Genomic DNA, 17,269 nt, shown 5'->3' with positions numbered 1-17,269 from the left:
ACATGATCTTTTAATATATGTGTACAATTGTGAAATGATTACCACAGGCAAGCTAACTAGCATATTCGTCACCTCACATCCTTTTTTCCCCAAATTTGTTGTGTTTCCAATGAGTAATTCCATCTAGTCTCACTGAAGAGTTAAATTATCATCTGAGCATATTTATATAAAAAAAATTGGGGGAAAATTAGATGAAACCTTAGACAAATTAAGTACATTTATCCTGAATACAGACATTGGAAATATTTGAAATAGTAAGATGAATACTAAATATTTGAATGTTGTTTTCCATGAAGCAGTCCTAAATACAAGCCCACATAGCACCACCTAGTGTCAGTGTCACTTAGAATAAAACTGTCTGCTGCATGTTTGAAAGCTAAAACATAAACATTTATGCTTTTAGTGGCATTACACTTCTGTAATGGGGTGAGAAAGTGTGTATTGTTGTGGTTAACAAAAAAGCTGCATAAATGTGTAAACTACTGCCTTTTTTCTTATTCTCTTGTAATTTTTTATCAGGCAAATATTGAAAATGGTTTGAAATTTTTTATTTCTATGCATCCTTAAGTCTTTTCAGAATTGTAGTTTTCAAAAAGATAAATATAATTTCTTACAATATTTTGTATTAGATCAAGAGCAGAGATTGAACACGAAGCACTGATTGATGGAAACCTGGCTACAGAAGCAAACCTAATCATTTTAGATACATTAGAGATTGTTGTTCAGGTAAGAATGCAAAGAAGAGAAATTTAAAATACGGATTTGGTAAATTGAGGTTGGAGGGAAAAGTGTTTACTGTGAGCCATAAAATTACATTTTATTAAATATTGGTAGTTCCTAAAAGTTTCGTTCCAAGCATTCTGAGATTCTCTGTAATTATAAATTCCCATAGCTTCAACTGTTTCTTCATGGAGGATGATTATGAAATCTTTATCTCCTTGTCTTTCCCCTTGATGGCCTAGTCTTGCATTTCCAAATATCCTCTGAGTATTTATAGGTGGAAGTTCTGCCATCAGGTGAGATTCAACATGCATGTATAGCTATAGCTACATATAGATAAACTGGGTTTATGCAGTATCCTCTGTATACCACAGCAATGTTTCAGGCTTTTTATCTATAATCATTGTGTTGGGTCCTAACAGTTGCCCTCTGGGCAGTATTCTGTAGTAACAATGTGATAGCTGACATTTATTTAGTTTTTTCTGTGTTAAACATTGTCCTAAGCACTTTACAAATATTAACTCATTTGATCCTTCTAAGAAACTCATGACATTGAAACTGTCAGTATCCTCATCTTGTAGATGAGAACACTTAGGCACAAAGATGTTAAATAACTGCCCATAATGACGCAGCTAGTATGTAGAAGAGCCAGGATTCAAATCAGTTAGCAAGATCTTTCAGATGTTTTAGTAAATATATCTCTCACCTATTCCTTCCATTCCTTTTCTACTACCACTACTCTGCCAGGTTCATATTTCCACGCTATTACAATGGCCACCTACTTCATAACTCACTCTGTATTCTTCCCACCATCCATTCTGTACATTGTTGTGAGAATTTTCCTTTAAAAGTATTTTATGGCTGGGCACGGTGGCTCATGCCTGTAATCCCAGCAATTTGGGAAGCTGAGGTGGGTGGATCACTTCAAGTCAGGAGTTCAAGACCAGCCTAGTCAACATGGCAAAACCCTGACTCTACTCTATTTTATTTATTTATTTATTTATTTATTTATTTATTTTTGAGGTGGAGTTTCGCTCTTGTTGCCCAGGCTGGAGTGCAGTGGCGCAATCTCAGCTCACCACAACCTCCGCCTCCCGGGTTCAAGTGATTCTCCTGCCTCAGCCTCCCAAGTAGCTGGGATTACAGGCATGCGCCACCACGCCCAGCTGATTGTGTATTTTTAGTAGAGACAGGGTTTCTCCACGTTGGTTAGGCTGGTCTCGAACTCCTGACCTCAGGTGATCCACCCACCTCAGCCTCCCAAAGTGTGGGGATTACAGGCGTGAGCCACTGCACCCAGCCAACCCTGACTCTACTAAAAATAAAAAAATTAGCTGGGTGTGGTGGCGCACACCTGTAATCCTAGCTACTCAGGAGGCTGAGGCACAAGAATTGCTTGAAGCCAGGAGGCGGAGGTTGCAGTGAGCCAAGATCAAGCCACTGCACTTCAGCCTGGGTGACAGAGTGAGACTCCATCTCAAAAACAAAAAAAAAAAGATTTTATCAGTCATTATCCTGACTAAAGTTTTAAAAATAGAAAAAATTTAATAAGTCCAAGATAACTGATCCCAAGATGGTTGCTTGAGCTGCGGCCATCATGTCTGTATTTCATTCAGTGAAAAGAAACAGCAGGGACAGAGTACATTTCTTTTTTTAAGGGCATGACTCAGAAGATGTAACTTCTCTTTTGTTCACCTCTCTCTGTAGCCGGATTCAAAGTCTTCAGCTAAAATTCAGGATTTCAATTATTAAAGAAGAAAAGAATGGTTATTTGTGTACCACCAACATTTTTTGCTCTAGGCACCACTCAATTTTTCAGCCTTATCTCTAGTTATTTTCTACATGAACCTCAAGTCAATTCAAATTTACTTACTAATTTTCCTAAAACACACCTTATGATTTCTTGCCATTGTATCTTACTCCTGTTTTTTCTCATTTAAATTATATTTATTCTTTTTCCCCCTTTTCTTATTCAAATCCTGCTTAGCTCCTTCTTGAAGCCATCCTAGATCTTATGTTATCATTTTTTTATCTTTTAAAACTTTACTTATACATACAGGGAGGCCTTTATTTATACATAGGGAGGCCTGTAACATCCATAACTAAATTGCAAGTACATCTCTATTTTATTTGTTTATTTTTAAATTGCAGACCGTTTCTGTAACGGAATCCAAAGAGAGCATTCTTGGTGGAGTGCTAAAAGTGCTACTACACAGCATGGCCTGTAACCAAAGTGCAGTTTATCTACAACACTGTTTTGCTACACAGAGAGCCTTGGTTTCAAAGGTAGGTTATTTTGTACCTGCAGTGTTGTCAGACTTTGTTTTTTTTATTAACATTGTCTAAGATCATTTGACACATTCATTGGTTAATATATGTAGTAATATATTAATGAATATGTGTAGTTAAAATTTAAATAATAACCTAAGACCCTTAATTCTTCTTTGCCTCTCTACTGCTGCCTGCCTTTTAGAATTTTTCATTTATTCGAATCACCTTTAACCAGTTCTGGTTTGAAAAACAGTAACTTGGATGTGGAGAAGGGCCTGAAATTAATAGCCAATCTTAAATATGGGGCTTCTCTTGTTTTCTCTTCACTTGGTTCTGTTTTTATAAAAAACTCAATTTATAAAGAATTCAATATATAAGCAATTCAACCCACTGAAATTATTTTATGATGAATGGAAAAGAAGGTATGTGTTTGTTCAACTGCTTTAAATGTTTACTTCTTATATTTGTTTTCCCTTAGAAATATGTATATTCTTAAATTTTGAAGGTAGCTATTTCATTTTAATCATCCTAGAGGATGGAATGCAGAGATGTTGATGAAAATAACTTACGTATTATTTTGTAATAAATATAGAATTCATATATGTTGATTACTAAGTGTTTTATGCACATTCTGATAGAAGCTTCACAACAATCCCTTGTAGATATATTATTAGGCCTATTTTGTGGATGAGAAAACTTGTCCAAGGTCCCACTACTAGTTAGTAAGTGGAATAATGAGCATTCGAACCCAGTTTGACTCTGTGTCTCACACTATTAACCATTAGCTAATATTGTCCTAACCATTCTTTTAATTTCTGGGCTATACTAACAAGTCTCCAGTTCAGGTTATATTAACATATCTCAGAAACTTTTACTGTAAAAATTCAGTGGTGGTTTGTTTTGTTGTTTTACAGTTTCCTGAACTCTTATTTGAAGAAGAGACAGAGCAGTGTGCTGATTTATGCCTCAGGCTTCTCCGACACTGTAGCAGTAGCATCGGTACAATACGGTCACACGCCAGTGCCTCCCTTTACCTACTAATGAGGCAAAACTTTGAGATTGGGAATGTAAGTATTTTATCATGAAAATTCTCTGTATTCATAATGAAATATAACTTCTGCTGATAGTTATTAAATCAGTTTTTGGGAGAGCATGGAGTTTTTTGTATATTTTTAGTCTAATCATAGGCTATCTTGATATTTCTCATTCTGTGTATATCTTACAAAAATCCAAATCTCCAATTGTGTGCATATCATGTGTACGTATGTATGTATGTATGTATATTAATACAGACTTAGAATATAAATGTACATTGAGCAGTTTTAAATTTTAATTGTCCCTAAGTAAAAAGAAATACAAGTTTAAGTATCTTGGCTTGATATTTTACAATTACATGTCACAGCCTTTGAAGAATTCCATTTTTTCATTTGTCTTTTATTATATGTTATATTCATGTGTTATATTTTTCCTTTTTGAGTCAAATATTTAGTTCATTTATTTTTGCTTATGTAAGTATTTAAGGCCTTGAATTTTCCTTTAAGTGCTATTTTTGGCGTCTCCTTGGTTCTGATATTTAGTAATGTTGTCATTTCAGTTTGTGTTTTCTTTTTAACCCAAAGAGTTGACTAGCCTTATTTTTTTTTTTTTTTTGAGACGGAGTCTCACTCAGTCGCCCAGGCTGGAGTGCAGTGGCGTGATCTTGGCTCACTGCAAGCTCCGCCTCCTGGGTTCACGCCATTCTCCTGCCTCAGCCTCCCAAGTAGCTGGGATTACAGGTGCCCGCCACCACGCCCAGCTAATTTTTTGTACTTTTAGTAGAGACGGGGTTTCACCATGTTAGCCAGGATGGTCTCGATCTCCTGACCTCGTGATCCGCCTGCCTCGGCCTCCCAAAGTGCTGGGATTACAGGAGTGAGCCACCGCGCCTGGCTGCTAGCCTTTTTGTTTCAAAGTTTTGGCTGGCTCCAGTGGCTCACACGTGTAATCCCAACACTTTGGGTGGCCGAGGAAGGAAGATTGCTTGAGGCCAGGAGTTTGAGGCCAGCCTGAGTGACATAGTAAAACCCTATCTCTACAAAAAAATAAATAATACTAGCCGGGCTTGGTGGCCTGTGCCTGTGGTCGCAGCTACTCGGGAGGCTGAGATGGGAGGATCCCTTTGAGCCCAGGAGTGTGAGGTCGCAGTGAGCTATGAACACACCACTGTACTCCAGCCTGAGTGACAGAGTGAGATCCTGTCTCAAAAAAAAAAAAAATTGTTTATGTTAATTTTCAGCTTTATTACATTGTGATTGTACAATGTGTATTCTGTTTCTCCCTTTCTTTACTGTGGATCTGTGTATTTGTGTGTCTAAATATAATCCATTTTTATGAGTGTTCTACAAAAAAACTTTAAAAAGGAAGTAGTTCTGTTTTCAGAATATTGAGTTAAACATATACTAGATAAATACACCTTATTAATTACATTATTGTGTCTCTCTATATCCTTGTTTTTGTTTCACTTGGTAGAAGTAAATTAAAGCCTATTACTGTGTTTGTCTGTTTCTCCTTTAGCTTTTATTTGGTGTACTAATACTCATAACTACTGTATCTTCTTAAGAGTTTTTCTCCTTTGGAATTTAAAAGAACTCGTCTTGGTTTTACTTAAAACCTTTATTCTATTTTATTTTTTGGCCTGAATTTCATCTCTTATGGTATTAAGATTTTGACCTCTGCTTTCTTTTTAATTTGAACTTAATTTAATTGCCTTTGCCTGTTCTTTAATTTTCACTTTATTTTAGATGTGCCTCTCATATACAACATAAGAGTTGAGTTTTGCTTTGTGATCCAACCTCTAATTGAATTAAACCTTTCATACTTGTTATTATATTACATACGTCCTGGAATTCTATTATTTTGTTATGCCTTTCCCTCTTGCCTCCCCTTTAAAAAAAATTGTGTTGGTTGTTTTCATCTTACACTATATGGTCTGTTTACCTTGTTTTGGGGATGTAGTGTTTATCATATTTAGCAAAATTTCTGGTTTTGCTCTAATGGTTGCCTTTATAGTTATGTAATACCCCTAGTACTCTATTTCTTTAGATCATGCATTCTCAACCAGGGCAGTAATTACCACCAAGGGAGTGAAAATTCGTTTTTGTGGAGGATGAGAAAAATCTTAGCTTATGGTCCTCCAAAGCTCAACACTACCCAACAACATGGCATTCCTTAGTATTTATTTGTCTCATTGGTCTTATTGGATATCACATGAGCAGCATTGACATTAAGTTCATGGAAGATAAACAAAAAACAAAATGTATGCGAAATTGGGCTTATAAAACTGGAGAATAGATGACTGTGATAGGGAGACTTTTAATCAATTGCTTGATCTCAGTCATATGGCAAGAGGTTGCTTCCATTGGCTGCCTTGTGGATATTGTTTATGTTTGGTTCTCAGTGCATTCGTGTGTGACTTGGGCTTTGAAAATTAAGCCCAAGAAAAAAACTTTCCAATTTATTAGTTCATTCTACAAAAGTTATTCAACCCATTTTTAATCATGTCATTTGCTGAAAATAAAAAAAGTCAACAATATCTGAATGAATATCTAGTAGCCAGAACTTATTTCCTTCTATCAAGCAAATAGTGAAAGTTCACTGAAATAATTTTTAAGAAATTAATTTTTAATTCCTTTCTTTTGCTGAATAAATAGCAGTTTTGAATGGTTTAAAAAATTGATTACATTGCTGCTTTTGTTTTGTAGTTATATAAGTTGCTAATTTATTTGTGTAATTTGATACATTATAGTTTATTTAAGCTAAAAGATTATATTAAAAGTTTTTCAGAAAACCAGCCTATAAACATAAGCTAAATGTAAATCATTTTCAGATTTTTAACTTAAAATTTTTATCTAGTCATTCATAACCTTGCATCAAGTAAAAAGAGTAAGCTTTATATTTACTTTCTTACGTGTATATAAATCCAGAAATACATAGAGTGCATAAACAGATGTATACATCTCTGATATTAAAATATCATAGGGATGTAATTAGAAAAAATGTTCAAAAAGATTTATTAGGGGGACAATAATGAAAAAAATATTGAGAAACTCTACTTGAGACAAGTATCTATTAACTCCCTTTAATGAACAGTGATAAAATTGCTGATTTTCTTTTCTCTCCTCCACCCTGTCATTCTTTGTACCTCAATATTTCAAAAAATTATCTTTCTTACTGTTTACATCTGTATTGTTGAATCTGCATATACTTCACTTGATTTAATTGCCACCTTCAAATAATATTATTTGTTTTATGTCTACTGTAGATAGTTAAGTACTTCTTTCTATCTCCTTTCTCACCCTCCTAGTGTTTTTCTTAGCTGTAACATTTCAGTCTTAGTTTGTAGTCTTAGTTGTAAAATGAAATATTGCTTACCACCAGTTTTTTAGGGCTGTAATTATCTTTTATTTAGCTAAATATTGTCCTCATCAAGGTTCTTAGGAGTAATATTCTCCAAGTGTTTTTTTGTTTGTTTTAGTCGAGACAGGAACTCACTTTGTTGCCCAGTCTGGTCTTGAACTCGTAGGCTCAGGCAGTCCTCCCTGCACGGCCTTCCAAAGTGCTGGGACTGCAGGTATGAGCCACCTCGCCCTGCCCACCCCACTCACCCCCCCTTTTAAAAATAGAGACAGCGTTTCCTCCTGTCACCCAGGCTAGACTGCAGTGGCATGATGGTACTTCACTGTAGCCCAGAACTCCTGGGCTCAAGCTGTTCTCCCACCTTGTCCACCCAGAGTGTTGGGATTACAGGCAGTAACCATTGCACCCAGCCAGTTTTCCAAGTTCTTGATTGTTTAAAGTTGTCTGTACTTGTAGGACAGCAAGGGTGGTTATGAAATCTTTGCCTTATACTTTGAATAATAATAAGCACGAGAAAAATCAGCAAAACTTATCAGATAAAGAACACCTCATAGGAAAAAAAGGGTACTTGAGTACCATTGTCTTCTGACATTAAATATTGTTGTAGATATATTGAAAGGTATTTTTCTCCGTTTTAAATAACATTTTTCCCCCAGCTGCTCATGAGATTTTCTTTATATTTATAATTAAATGACTTTTCTAGAATATTTGTCTTAGTATTGACTGATTTGTGTTAAGTTTCTCAGGTACATGATGTGTACTTTTAGTTCATTTATTTCAGAAAATTTTCTTGAATATAAAATACTTGTTTTGTTCCTGTGTTTGGGGTTTCTGTGCTGGGTTCATTATACATATGTTGGAACTTTTACTTTACCTATCATTTTGTCTTCTCCTTTTTAACACTTTTAAAATTTCATCTTCATTTCTGTTTTTTTCTTACTTTTCCAAGTAAAAAAATTTCTTTTGCCAGCTCACATGTAATTGATTATATGTTATTGTTTTCTGATTTTTGCCATCTTTCCTTGACTTCTTGTATTTCTGCCTTTTTTATTCTAAAGATGTCTTCATAAATTTTGTATAATTTAAATCAAAATATTTCATTAGAATTTTCGTCTGTTTTATGACATCATTTGTCTATTAAGTATTCTTTATCTGGTGAGTTTTGCTGCTCTTCCTTACCTTTTTACTACTCAACATAGGATAAGCTGGGTTATCTTGGCCCAAGCATTTATAGGGAGTTCCTTCAGAAATGTGTTTTGGCTGGGATTTTGCTATTGCAGGCACATCTTGCCTAACTGCCTAAACTTTCTGGATGATCCATCTCTGTCCAATTTTACCAGATTTTTAGCTCATTTTTTTTTTTTCAGAACAGTTTTACAACTTCAAGATGGGTTTCTTGTGTATTTATTTATTTATTTTTTAGAGACAGGGTCTTGCTCTGTTACCCAGGCTGGAGTGCAGTGGTGCAGTCATAGCTCATTGCAGCCTCAAAACTCCTGGGCTAAAGGGATCCTCCCACCTCAGCCTCCCAAGTAGCTGGGGCTATAGGCACACACCACCATGTCATGCCTGGCTAATTTTTTTTTTTCTTGTAGAAACAGGATCTGTCTCTGTTGCCTAGGCTGGTCTTGAAATCCTTGCCTCAAGCAGCTCTCCTGTCTTGGCCTCCCAAAGTGCTGGGATTTCAGATGTGAGCTACTATCACACCGGGCTAAGTTTCTTACTTAGAGGAAATATTTGTTTCCCTCATTAGTTCTAAAATCTGTGCCCTAGGATTCCTCACTCTTTGCTTTCCTTTCCTTGCCTTATATTGGAACTGCTTCCTAACTTAGCTTGTGTTGGCAACCTCCCATTTTTCTAATAAATGAATTATATCTGACTCCTCATTTTGATAAAGATAGAGTTTGTGGGGTTTTTTCTATTCCCCCATCTTTTATTTTTACATGAAATCCAGAAGTGGGAAATTGCTATCTCATACTGTCCTTTTTTTACTGGAAGGGAAGTCTTCTGTCTTAACCCAGAATAGAAGAATATGGTTACTTTATTGATCTTACTTTGTTTATGAAATAAAGTCTCTAAAATTTGACCACACTCAGTTTTCTTGATACATGTTTCTGTTATTTTGGAAAAGCTTTATATAAAAGAAGAAAGGACAATTTATAGTATTAGTATCAGGCAGTGTTTCCAAAAAGGAATAGGTGGCTGGACGCAGTGGCTCACGCCTGTAATCCCAGCACTTTGGGAGGCCGAGGCAGGTGGATCACCTGAGGTCAGGAGTTCAAGACCAGCCTGGCCAACATGGTGAAACCTTGTCTCTACTAAAAATATAAAAATTAGCCAAGCATGGTGGCGGGCGCCTGTAATCCCAGCTACTTGGGAGGCTGAGGCAGGAGAATTGCTTGAACCCAGAAGGCAGAGATTGTGGTGAACCAAGATCACGCCACTTCACTCCAGCCTGGGTGACAGAGTAAGACTCTGTCTCAAAAAAAAAAAAGAAAGAAATGGGTAATTTAAAACTGGCAGTGATATATATGTTTATTCAACAGATGCAGTATTATGTCTGTATATTGTACAACATAGTAAAATATGGAACTGTGTCTTGGCTGCTTTGGTAGGCATTGGGCAGACATAGATAAAAGGACAGTTTTTTGTTTTTTTTTTTCAAGTAGCTTGGCACCTAGTGGGAGAAGAGGATTAGAAAGTGATGTTCATTTAATAACAGATGAATCTAGTTCAGATGGTTTTGTAAGTGTTACATAAATTAATATTAAGTAAAACATAGCAGTAGATGGCACTAAGCAAGTGCTAAATAAGTACTTGGTGTTGTTAATATAATGCGAGATAAGCACAGGGTACTTCATAAGCACATAGAAAAATAGCTTATGATTCAGGGATGGGTTTTCAGAAAGAAGAGATGTTTGAAGTAAGAATGAAGAATTACCCAATCAGATGGCTAAATGGATAGAGCTTTTTAGGTAAAGATAATGACACATACATAATTAGAAAGGGATGGAGATGAAAGAAGGAAATGGGCAAACACAAAGACAGTTTTTTAGCACTTTTTTTAAATTTTGGGAGATGAGGTCTTACTCTGTTGCCCAGACTAAAGAGCAGTGGCACAGCTTTGAACTCCTTTGCTCAAGGGATCCTTCCACTCAGCCTCCCAAGTAGCTGGGACTACACGCATGTACCACTACATCTAGCTAATTAAAAAAAAAAAATTTCGTAGACATGCCGGTCTCAAACTTTGGGCCTCAGTGAACCTCCTGTCTTGGCCTCCCAAACTGCTGGGATTACAGATGTGAGCCACCATGCCCAGCCCCCTTTTTTTTTTAAAAGCACTTTTTGATGGTTATGGCTGGAAGAAAGAGTAAGGGATAAAGGTGTAATTGAAAAGGCCTAGCCAACTATGAATTATTTTATCACTATACTCTCAGTGCCTACTATGTAGTGTGACATATTTACTGAGTTGAATTCTTTAATTTTATCCTCAAAACTTTGGACAGCTGCCTTAGGAGCATTTTAAGGAGAGGAGGAACATGTTCAGATCTGCATTTTACAAAAAGTTCCGTGGTGCTAGGTAGAGGTTAGACTGAGAGATATGAAAGAAAAAGGCATGGAGATTGATTAGGAAGTTATTACAGTAATCCAAATAAGAAATGGTGAGGGTGTAAAATAAAGCAAAGCCATTTGGAATGGAGAAAGGATATATTGGAACACATTAGGAGATGGTGTGGATTTGGATTTATGGTATGAAAAATGAGAGGGGAGGATGAGTAGGGGTGACCCCTAGATTTTTGGCATGACTACAAGAATAGTATCACTTTTTTAGATAATCAATAGGGAGAGAAGGTATTTTAGACATGTTGACTTTGTGGTACCTATGAGACATCCAGATGGTGCTATCTAGTAAAATATAGTAGCCTGGAGTTCTACAGACAAATATCAGCTGGAGACAGAAACATGTGTATATACTGGTTGAAGCAAAGACATGGATGAGGCTCTTTAGAGTATGTTAAGTGAGAAAAGGTTTTTGACAGAATCTTTGGGAATACTGGTATTTAGGAAGAATAACCAAGGAATAAAATAGAAAAAGAGTCGAAAAAGAATAGGAAAACCAGGATAAAGTGGTGCCACTGAAGATAAGGTAGGAGATTTTCAAGGTGAAAGTAATTTAAATATACAAAGATGTAAAGTAGAATATTGACCAAAAAATATTGGATTTGACAATTGATATATTATCACCAATAATCTCTTCAGAGTGATTTCATGGTAGAAAATGGTGGAGCAGAAATGAATTTACACTAAAAAAAGGAAGAATGTAAGTTATAAACTGTTAAAGGCATCACTCCAAAAGATTCTACCTTACATTACTTTATGCATGATGTGTGTTAAATTACTTTCATCATAGTATGGATGTCATGAAATGGACTAGAATTTAAATACTCCATCTACCATTTAAGAATTTTATAATGTCAGTCAAGCTATTTAACCTCATCTGTAAAATGTTATATTAATAACATATGCCCATAATAAATAAATGTAAAGAGATAAGCAGAATTTCTAATTCAACCCTTAACACATGACTTCTTAAAATCCTGTTTTGTAGCACATTATTCACAACAAAATTCTAAGTTTTACAACCTTTCTAAAATAAGATTTTGATATGCATATTTTATTACTTTAAAAAATATTTTGCTTAGAATGGTATTTTTTCACTAAATATACTTTTAGCAAGGAAAAATAGCAGACTTTTTAAAGCTTTTCTATATTAAGTATTGACTGGACAATTTCTCTGTTACAGAACTTTGCCAGGGTTAAAATGCAGGTAACAATGTCACTATCCTCCTTGGTGGGCACATCTCAGAATTTTAATGAAGAATTCTTAAGACGTTCTCTAAAGACTATATTGACATATGCTGAAGAAGATCTGGAATTGAGGGAAACAACATTTCCTGATCAGGTCAGAAATGCTGCTTTCTAGATCATTAATTGAAATAGGCTTGTTAAATAGGCACTTTCCAAATTGTTAAATCAAAAGTTGATTTTTGCTGGAGGATCATTTATTTCATTTTCAATCCACACATCATGTGCCATAGATAGGACTGAATCTCTTTGTTTTATTAAGCTACCCTTCTTTTTGGAAATAATTAATTCTGTGGTGTTTAATTCTGTGCATTTATAATAAGTAGAACAGCAGACTTGGACAGTGCAGACAAAGCTTTATGATGAAACGTTCCTACTTATTAATCAAACAATAATATGCCTTAAAAACTAAAGTTTCTACAAACTACCTTTTAGTAAAATCAGAAATATAGGAGAGAATTTTCCTTTTGTATTCTTGTATTTCCCATATCCCTCTGTTTTATTTCTACTTACAGTTCTGCTTGTTTCCAGGTGAAAGAACAAAAATAAACATAGTCTGCTGAGGAATTTATATAAAGTTTACTACCCTTCACTTACCATATCCCCACATACCTATACTGTACAGAATCATATCAGTATCCTACAACTTGTTTTGAAATCTTTAGATATTTATCTGAAATATCTCTGAAACTAATTTGGTGATTATGGATGAATGACAATTCAAGAATGTTTTTCATATAATTCTCTGCTGCAGGTCCAGGATCTGGTTTTCAATCTCCATATGATTCTTTCTGATACTGTGAAAATGAAGGAACACCAGGAGGATCCTGAAATGTTGATTGATCTAATGTACAGGTAGCATTTATTTGATTCATTTATGCTTTGTATAAGGGACTTAGTAAGACATACAGTAAGCATTAGATGAAAAAAATAAACACACAAAAATGATTTGTGATTTTTCTTTATTTACATTCTTTATTGTTTTTATTTTTATTTTTTACTTTTTTGTAGAGATGGGGTTTTACCATATTGCCCAGGCTGGTCTTGAACTCCTGGGCTCAAGAGATCTGCCTGTCTTGGCCTCCCAAAGTTCTGGGATTACAGACGTGAGCCACCGCACCTGGCCTTGAGTGATTTTTCTAATGGTAGATTGAAAGTCCAAATGCACTTTTTCCAGGTGGCATCTTTGGATCTTCTGTGTCTCTTCTTTTAAGAACAATGCAAATGTACTTATTGATTATCAAAAACGAGGATTTTTTTAAGTATTCATAACACACATTTAACACCTTGGTGTCCTGGGCCCCAGAGTTCCTTTGAAGGCCCATACCAATATTTTCAGTGTAAAACTCAGTCTTTTCAGAAGAAAATACAGTATATGAATGTTTTACGATAACATTAATTACCTGATTTTCAATACAGTTATGACTGAAGAATGATATTTCTAAGGGCACATTTTGAAAACTCCATAAATCGTATTGTATTAACACCTTAATAGATACAATAGTAAAACTTAAGAATTTTTCTCTGTCATATGACCCTCTGTTCCTGCAGTTTTGGGGTTCATTAAAAGCACAAATAAAACAATTTAATCTCTTTGAAATAAAGTAATAAAAGTACCTTTTAGAAGTTTTCTTTTTCCCTTGTGTATAAAACTTCTCTATGTTTCTGTAATGAACACATAAATTTCCATACTTTTTCCCTTAACTGGTTATTTTCTTAAAAGTCAGAATTTAATATGGCGTATTTCTTTTTTGCCCCTCCTGCCCCCCCCACCAACTGATATTATCCATTCCATAGGCCACAGTTATTTCTCTAGGCCTGCATAGCGACATTTTCATACTACTTTAAAACTAAGTAGGTTGTGCACAGTATCAAAAACCTTTCTAGGTAAACTCTGAGCGAGCTATCTAAACTCCCTCCCAGCTTGGGAAGCACATACTAATGGAGAAGAATTTCTGTTCTAATTAGAATTGCCAAGGGTTACCAGACCTCTCCAGATCTGCGATTGACCTGGTTGCAGAACATGGCAGGCAAGCACTCAGAACGAAGCAATCATGCTGAAGCTGCACAGTGTCTAGTCCACTCAGCAGCACTTGTTGCTGAATATTTGAGCATGCTGGAGGACCGGAAATATCTTCCTGTGGGATGTGTAACATTTCAGGTAGGAATCTTCCAGATGTACATTAAATCAAGGTATATCTTTTTTTGGTTTTAGCTTTTCTCACTGGTGTTTAGATTTTTTTAGTTTATAAGGAAAGCTTAAAGACTTAAGCCAATGCTTCACAAGGTGAATTAACATTTCACAGTGATTGTCATTAATACATTTTTAAGGAGTACTTCTTGTTGATTCTCTTTCCACAGTTTCTTACCTCTGAATTATCAGCACTATGCTTATTTATTCTCTTTGTCTTTACTGCCTTGTAATCCGTTACATACTTTAACATCTATGGAAATGTATTACTGATAATCAGAATTCAGTAGAAATTCTTAATTGGCTTTTACTTCACATAGCAGATATACCAACATTCTCTATTCCCTACATAAAATATTAGATTATTTTATGACTAATACCATGACTCACAGATGAGTTTGCCCTCTAGTAGGGTACATAATTCTGACCCACTAGTTGAATTCTCTGCTTACCAAGAGTCAGTTATGCTTTGCTTTTCTTCAAAACCTGTTAATAGTAGGTTTGAGATATTATAAAATTTAGTTAAATGTTATATCTTCTGATGAAATCAGAATGCAAAAAGAAAGTTATCGTTTCTCGGAAAACAAAGTTGAATGTTTTACAAAGACTCAGGAAAGGTGAATCTCCAAAACAATTGCTGTTGAATTAACTGTGGGCCAGACAAATAGATTGGGGGAGGGGAAACTCCTAAAATTCTAGAATAATTTGATAATCTTTTAAGTTTTCACTCAAAAGAAACCAAAACTTGAAATCTTTAAAAAGAGTGTTGCCTTATCGGTATTTACCCAAAAGAGATTCCGTGGAAATCTGATCTGGAAACCCATACACACAAAGAAAAGGCCTTAGATCTACTTCAAAAGTTGATGAATGAGTGTACATCTACTGTAAATGTTTAGGTTAAAATAAAATAGGGTATGTATGTATCATTTCTTTTTTAGAAATAATGGCTGATTCCAATCTCATTGAATAAGAGGGCTTTTATTATACCTGACTTTTTTCATTAACTCCGTGTACATTAGATAAGTCAAGAGACCATTTTTGTACCCTTTTTCCTTTACAGAGAGTTTTGAAAAGATCAATTAAATAAATAAGAAAGACTATTGATGTCTCCTTAGATGTCTTATGTTATATTACAATTTCCTTTAGCCCATGATTTTTCTTAATTTTCTTTCATACAACTTTTTATTAAGAGAAAAGTTATCTAGCAATGGTGTTTTCATTTTATTATCATCTTCAAAATACAGAAAGTTTTTAGAGATTTATCTTTTACCTTTATATCACTCTCCTTTTTTTAACCTAACCTGATAGTTACAGTTCATCTTCAGTTATTTCTTCTTATACATTTTTATGCTAGAAAATTCTGTTTCAAAAACCTTTTCAATATATTTTTTCCCTAGAATATTTCATCTAATGTTTTAGAAGAATCTGCGGTCTCAGATGATGTGGTATCTCCAGATGAAGAAGGTATCTGCTCTGGAAAATACTTTACTGAGTCAGGACTTGTGGGATTACTGGAACAAGCAGCTGCTTCCTTCTCTATGGTAGATGACTCTTGTTAATTCTTTTCCCACAGTTTCATACCTCTAATTATCAATGACATGTGTATTTATTCTCTCTGGCTTATGACCCTACTTTTCTTTAAAGATAATTTATTCTGGACCCAGTATGGTGGCTCATGCCTGTAATCTCAGCACTTTGAGAGGCTAAGACGGGAGGATTGCTTGAATCCAGGAGTTCAAGACCAGCATGGGGAACATAGTGAGATACCGTCTCTACAAAAAATTAAAAATTCACCAGGCATGGTGGCTCATGCCTGTGGTCCCAGCTACTTGAGAGGCTGAGGTGGGAGGATTGCTTGAGCCCAAGAGGTTGAGGCTGCAGTGAGCCATGATTATGCTGCTGCACTCCAGCCTGGACAACAGAGTAAAACCCTGTCTCCAAAAAAAGAAAAAAAAATTGTTTTTTATTTCAAGTCCCCTAAAAACTATCTAGGAAAAGATTTTCTTTCTAGATTCATTATTGGCTTACTCCTTTTCATCTTAATAATCTGTCACTTCCCCCAGTGTTCCAGTGGTTTGGCTCACTGCGGCCTCAAACTCCTGGGCTCAAGATATCTTCCCACCTCAGCCTCCTGGGTAGCTGGGAATACAGGGGCACAGGGGCACACCATCACACCTGGCTAATTGTTGTATTTTTTGTAGGGATGGGGTTTCACTTTGTTGCCCAAGATAGTCTCAAACTCCTGACCTCAAGTTATATTCCCCTCATCAGCCACCCAAAGTGTTAGAATTACAGGCATGAGCTACTGTGCCCAGACCCACCAGTGTTTTTCGTTTGCTTGTTTATTAACCAGCATGTGATTTGTAGCAGATTTTTTTTGGTTAATAAAACTGTTACTGCCAAACATTTTCTAAAACCTTTAAGTTAAAAAACGTAGCAAAACAAAACAGAAAGTCTCTGAGTGATATAAGTTCCTAGTTGGTAGACTGACAGGGCTCTATAAATAGATCTTGTCTATTGGATGAAATGGAGAATCTTTTTTCCAGTATGATGGGCATTGCCCTGGTGTCCAAGAAAGTTATGACCACTCATTCCATTGGTTGCATAGTAATCCTCATTAGGTAGTTATTGGAGGCCTGGGCCTTACTCTTTAGTTTTATGAACTGCATCCTGAATCCTTTACCTGACTATGCTGTCATGCTATAACCCCAATCTTGTTCCCTTCCATCCGTATGTGAAGAATTAAAGCAGTCAGATGAAACCCAGATGGGATGTTTATTGGAGAAAGAAAAGATAGTTAGCTGAATTCATGCTTACCTTCTTAAA

At 35.5% G+C, this 17,269-nt stretch overlaps 1 protein-coding gene across 14 annotated transcripts in view; it reads left to right on the top strand.

Moving 5' to 3' along the window:
* Positions 1 to 17,269, top strand: part of DOCK7 (dedicator of cytokinesis 7) — a 233,661-nt gene that overhangs the window by 179,699 nt on the left and 36,693 nt on the right. For all 14 annotated transcript variants that reach the window (XM_047432967.1, NM_001272001.2, NM_001272000.2 and 11 more), the window contains 7 exons: positions 630 to 726; positions 2,872 to 3,006; positions 3,906 to 4,058; positions 12,191 to 12,349; positions 13,007 to 13,107; positions 14,221 to 14,413; positions 15,841 to 15,984. In XM_047432967.1, the coding sequence (XP_047288923.1) occupies positions 630 to 726; positions 2,872 to 3,006; positions 3,906 to 4,058; positions 12,191 to 12,349; positions 13,007 to 13,107; positions 14,221 to 14,413; positions 15,841 to 15,984 (982 nt within the window). The remainder of the gene's footprint in view (positions 1 to 629; positions 727 to 2,871; positions 3,007 to 3,905; positions 4,059 to 12,190; positions 12,350 to 13,006; positions 13,108 to 14,220; positions 14,414 to 15,840; positions 15,985 to 17,269) is intronic.

This window comes from Homo sapiens, chromosome 1 (genome assembly GCF_000001405.40).
Source record: "Homo sapiens chromosome 1, GRCh38.p14 Primary Assembly".
In the NCBI taxonomy this organism is placed as follows: domain Eukaryota; kingdom Metazoa; phylum Chordata; class Mammalia; order Primates; family Hominidae; genus Homo; species Homo sapiens.
This window is presented reverse-complemented; position numbering and strand designations above follow the sequence as displayed.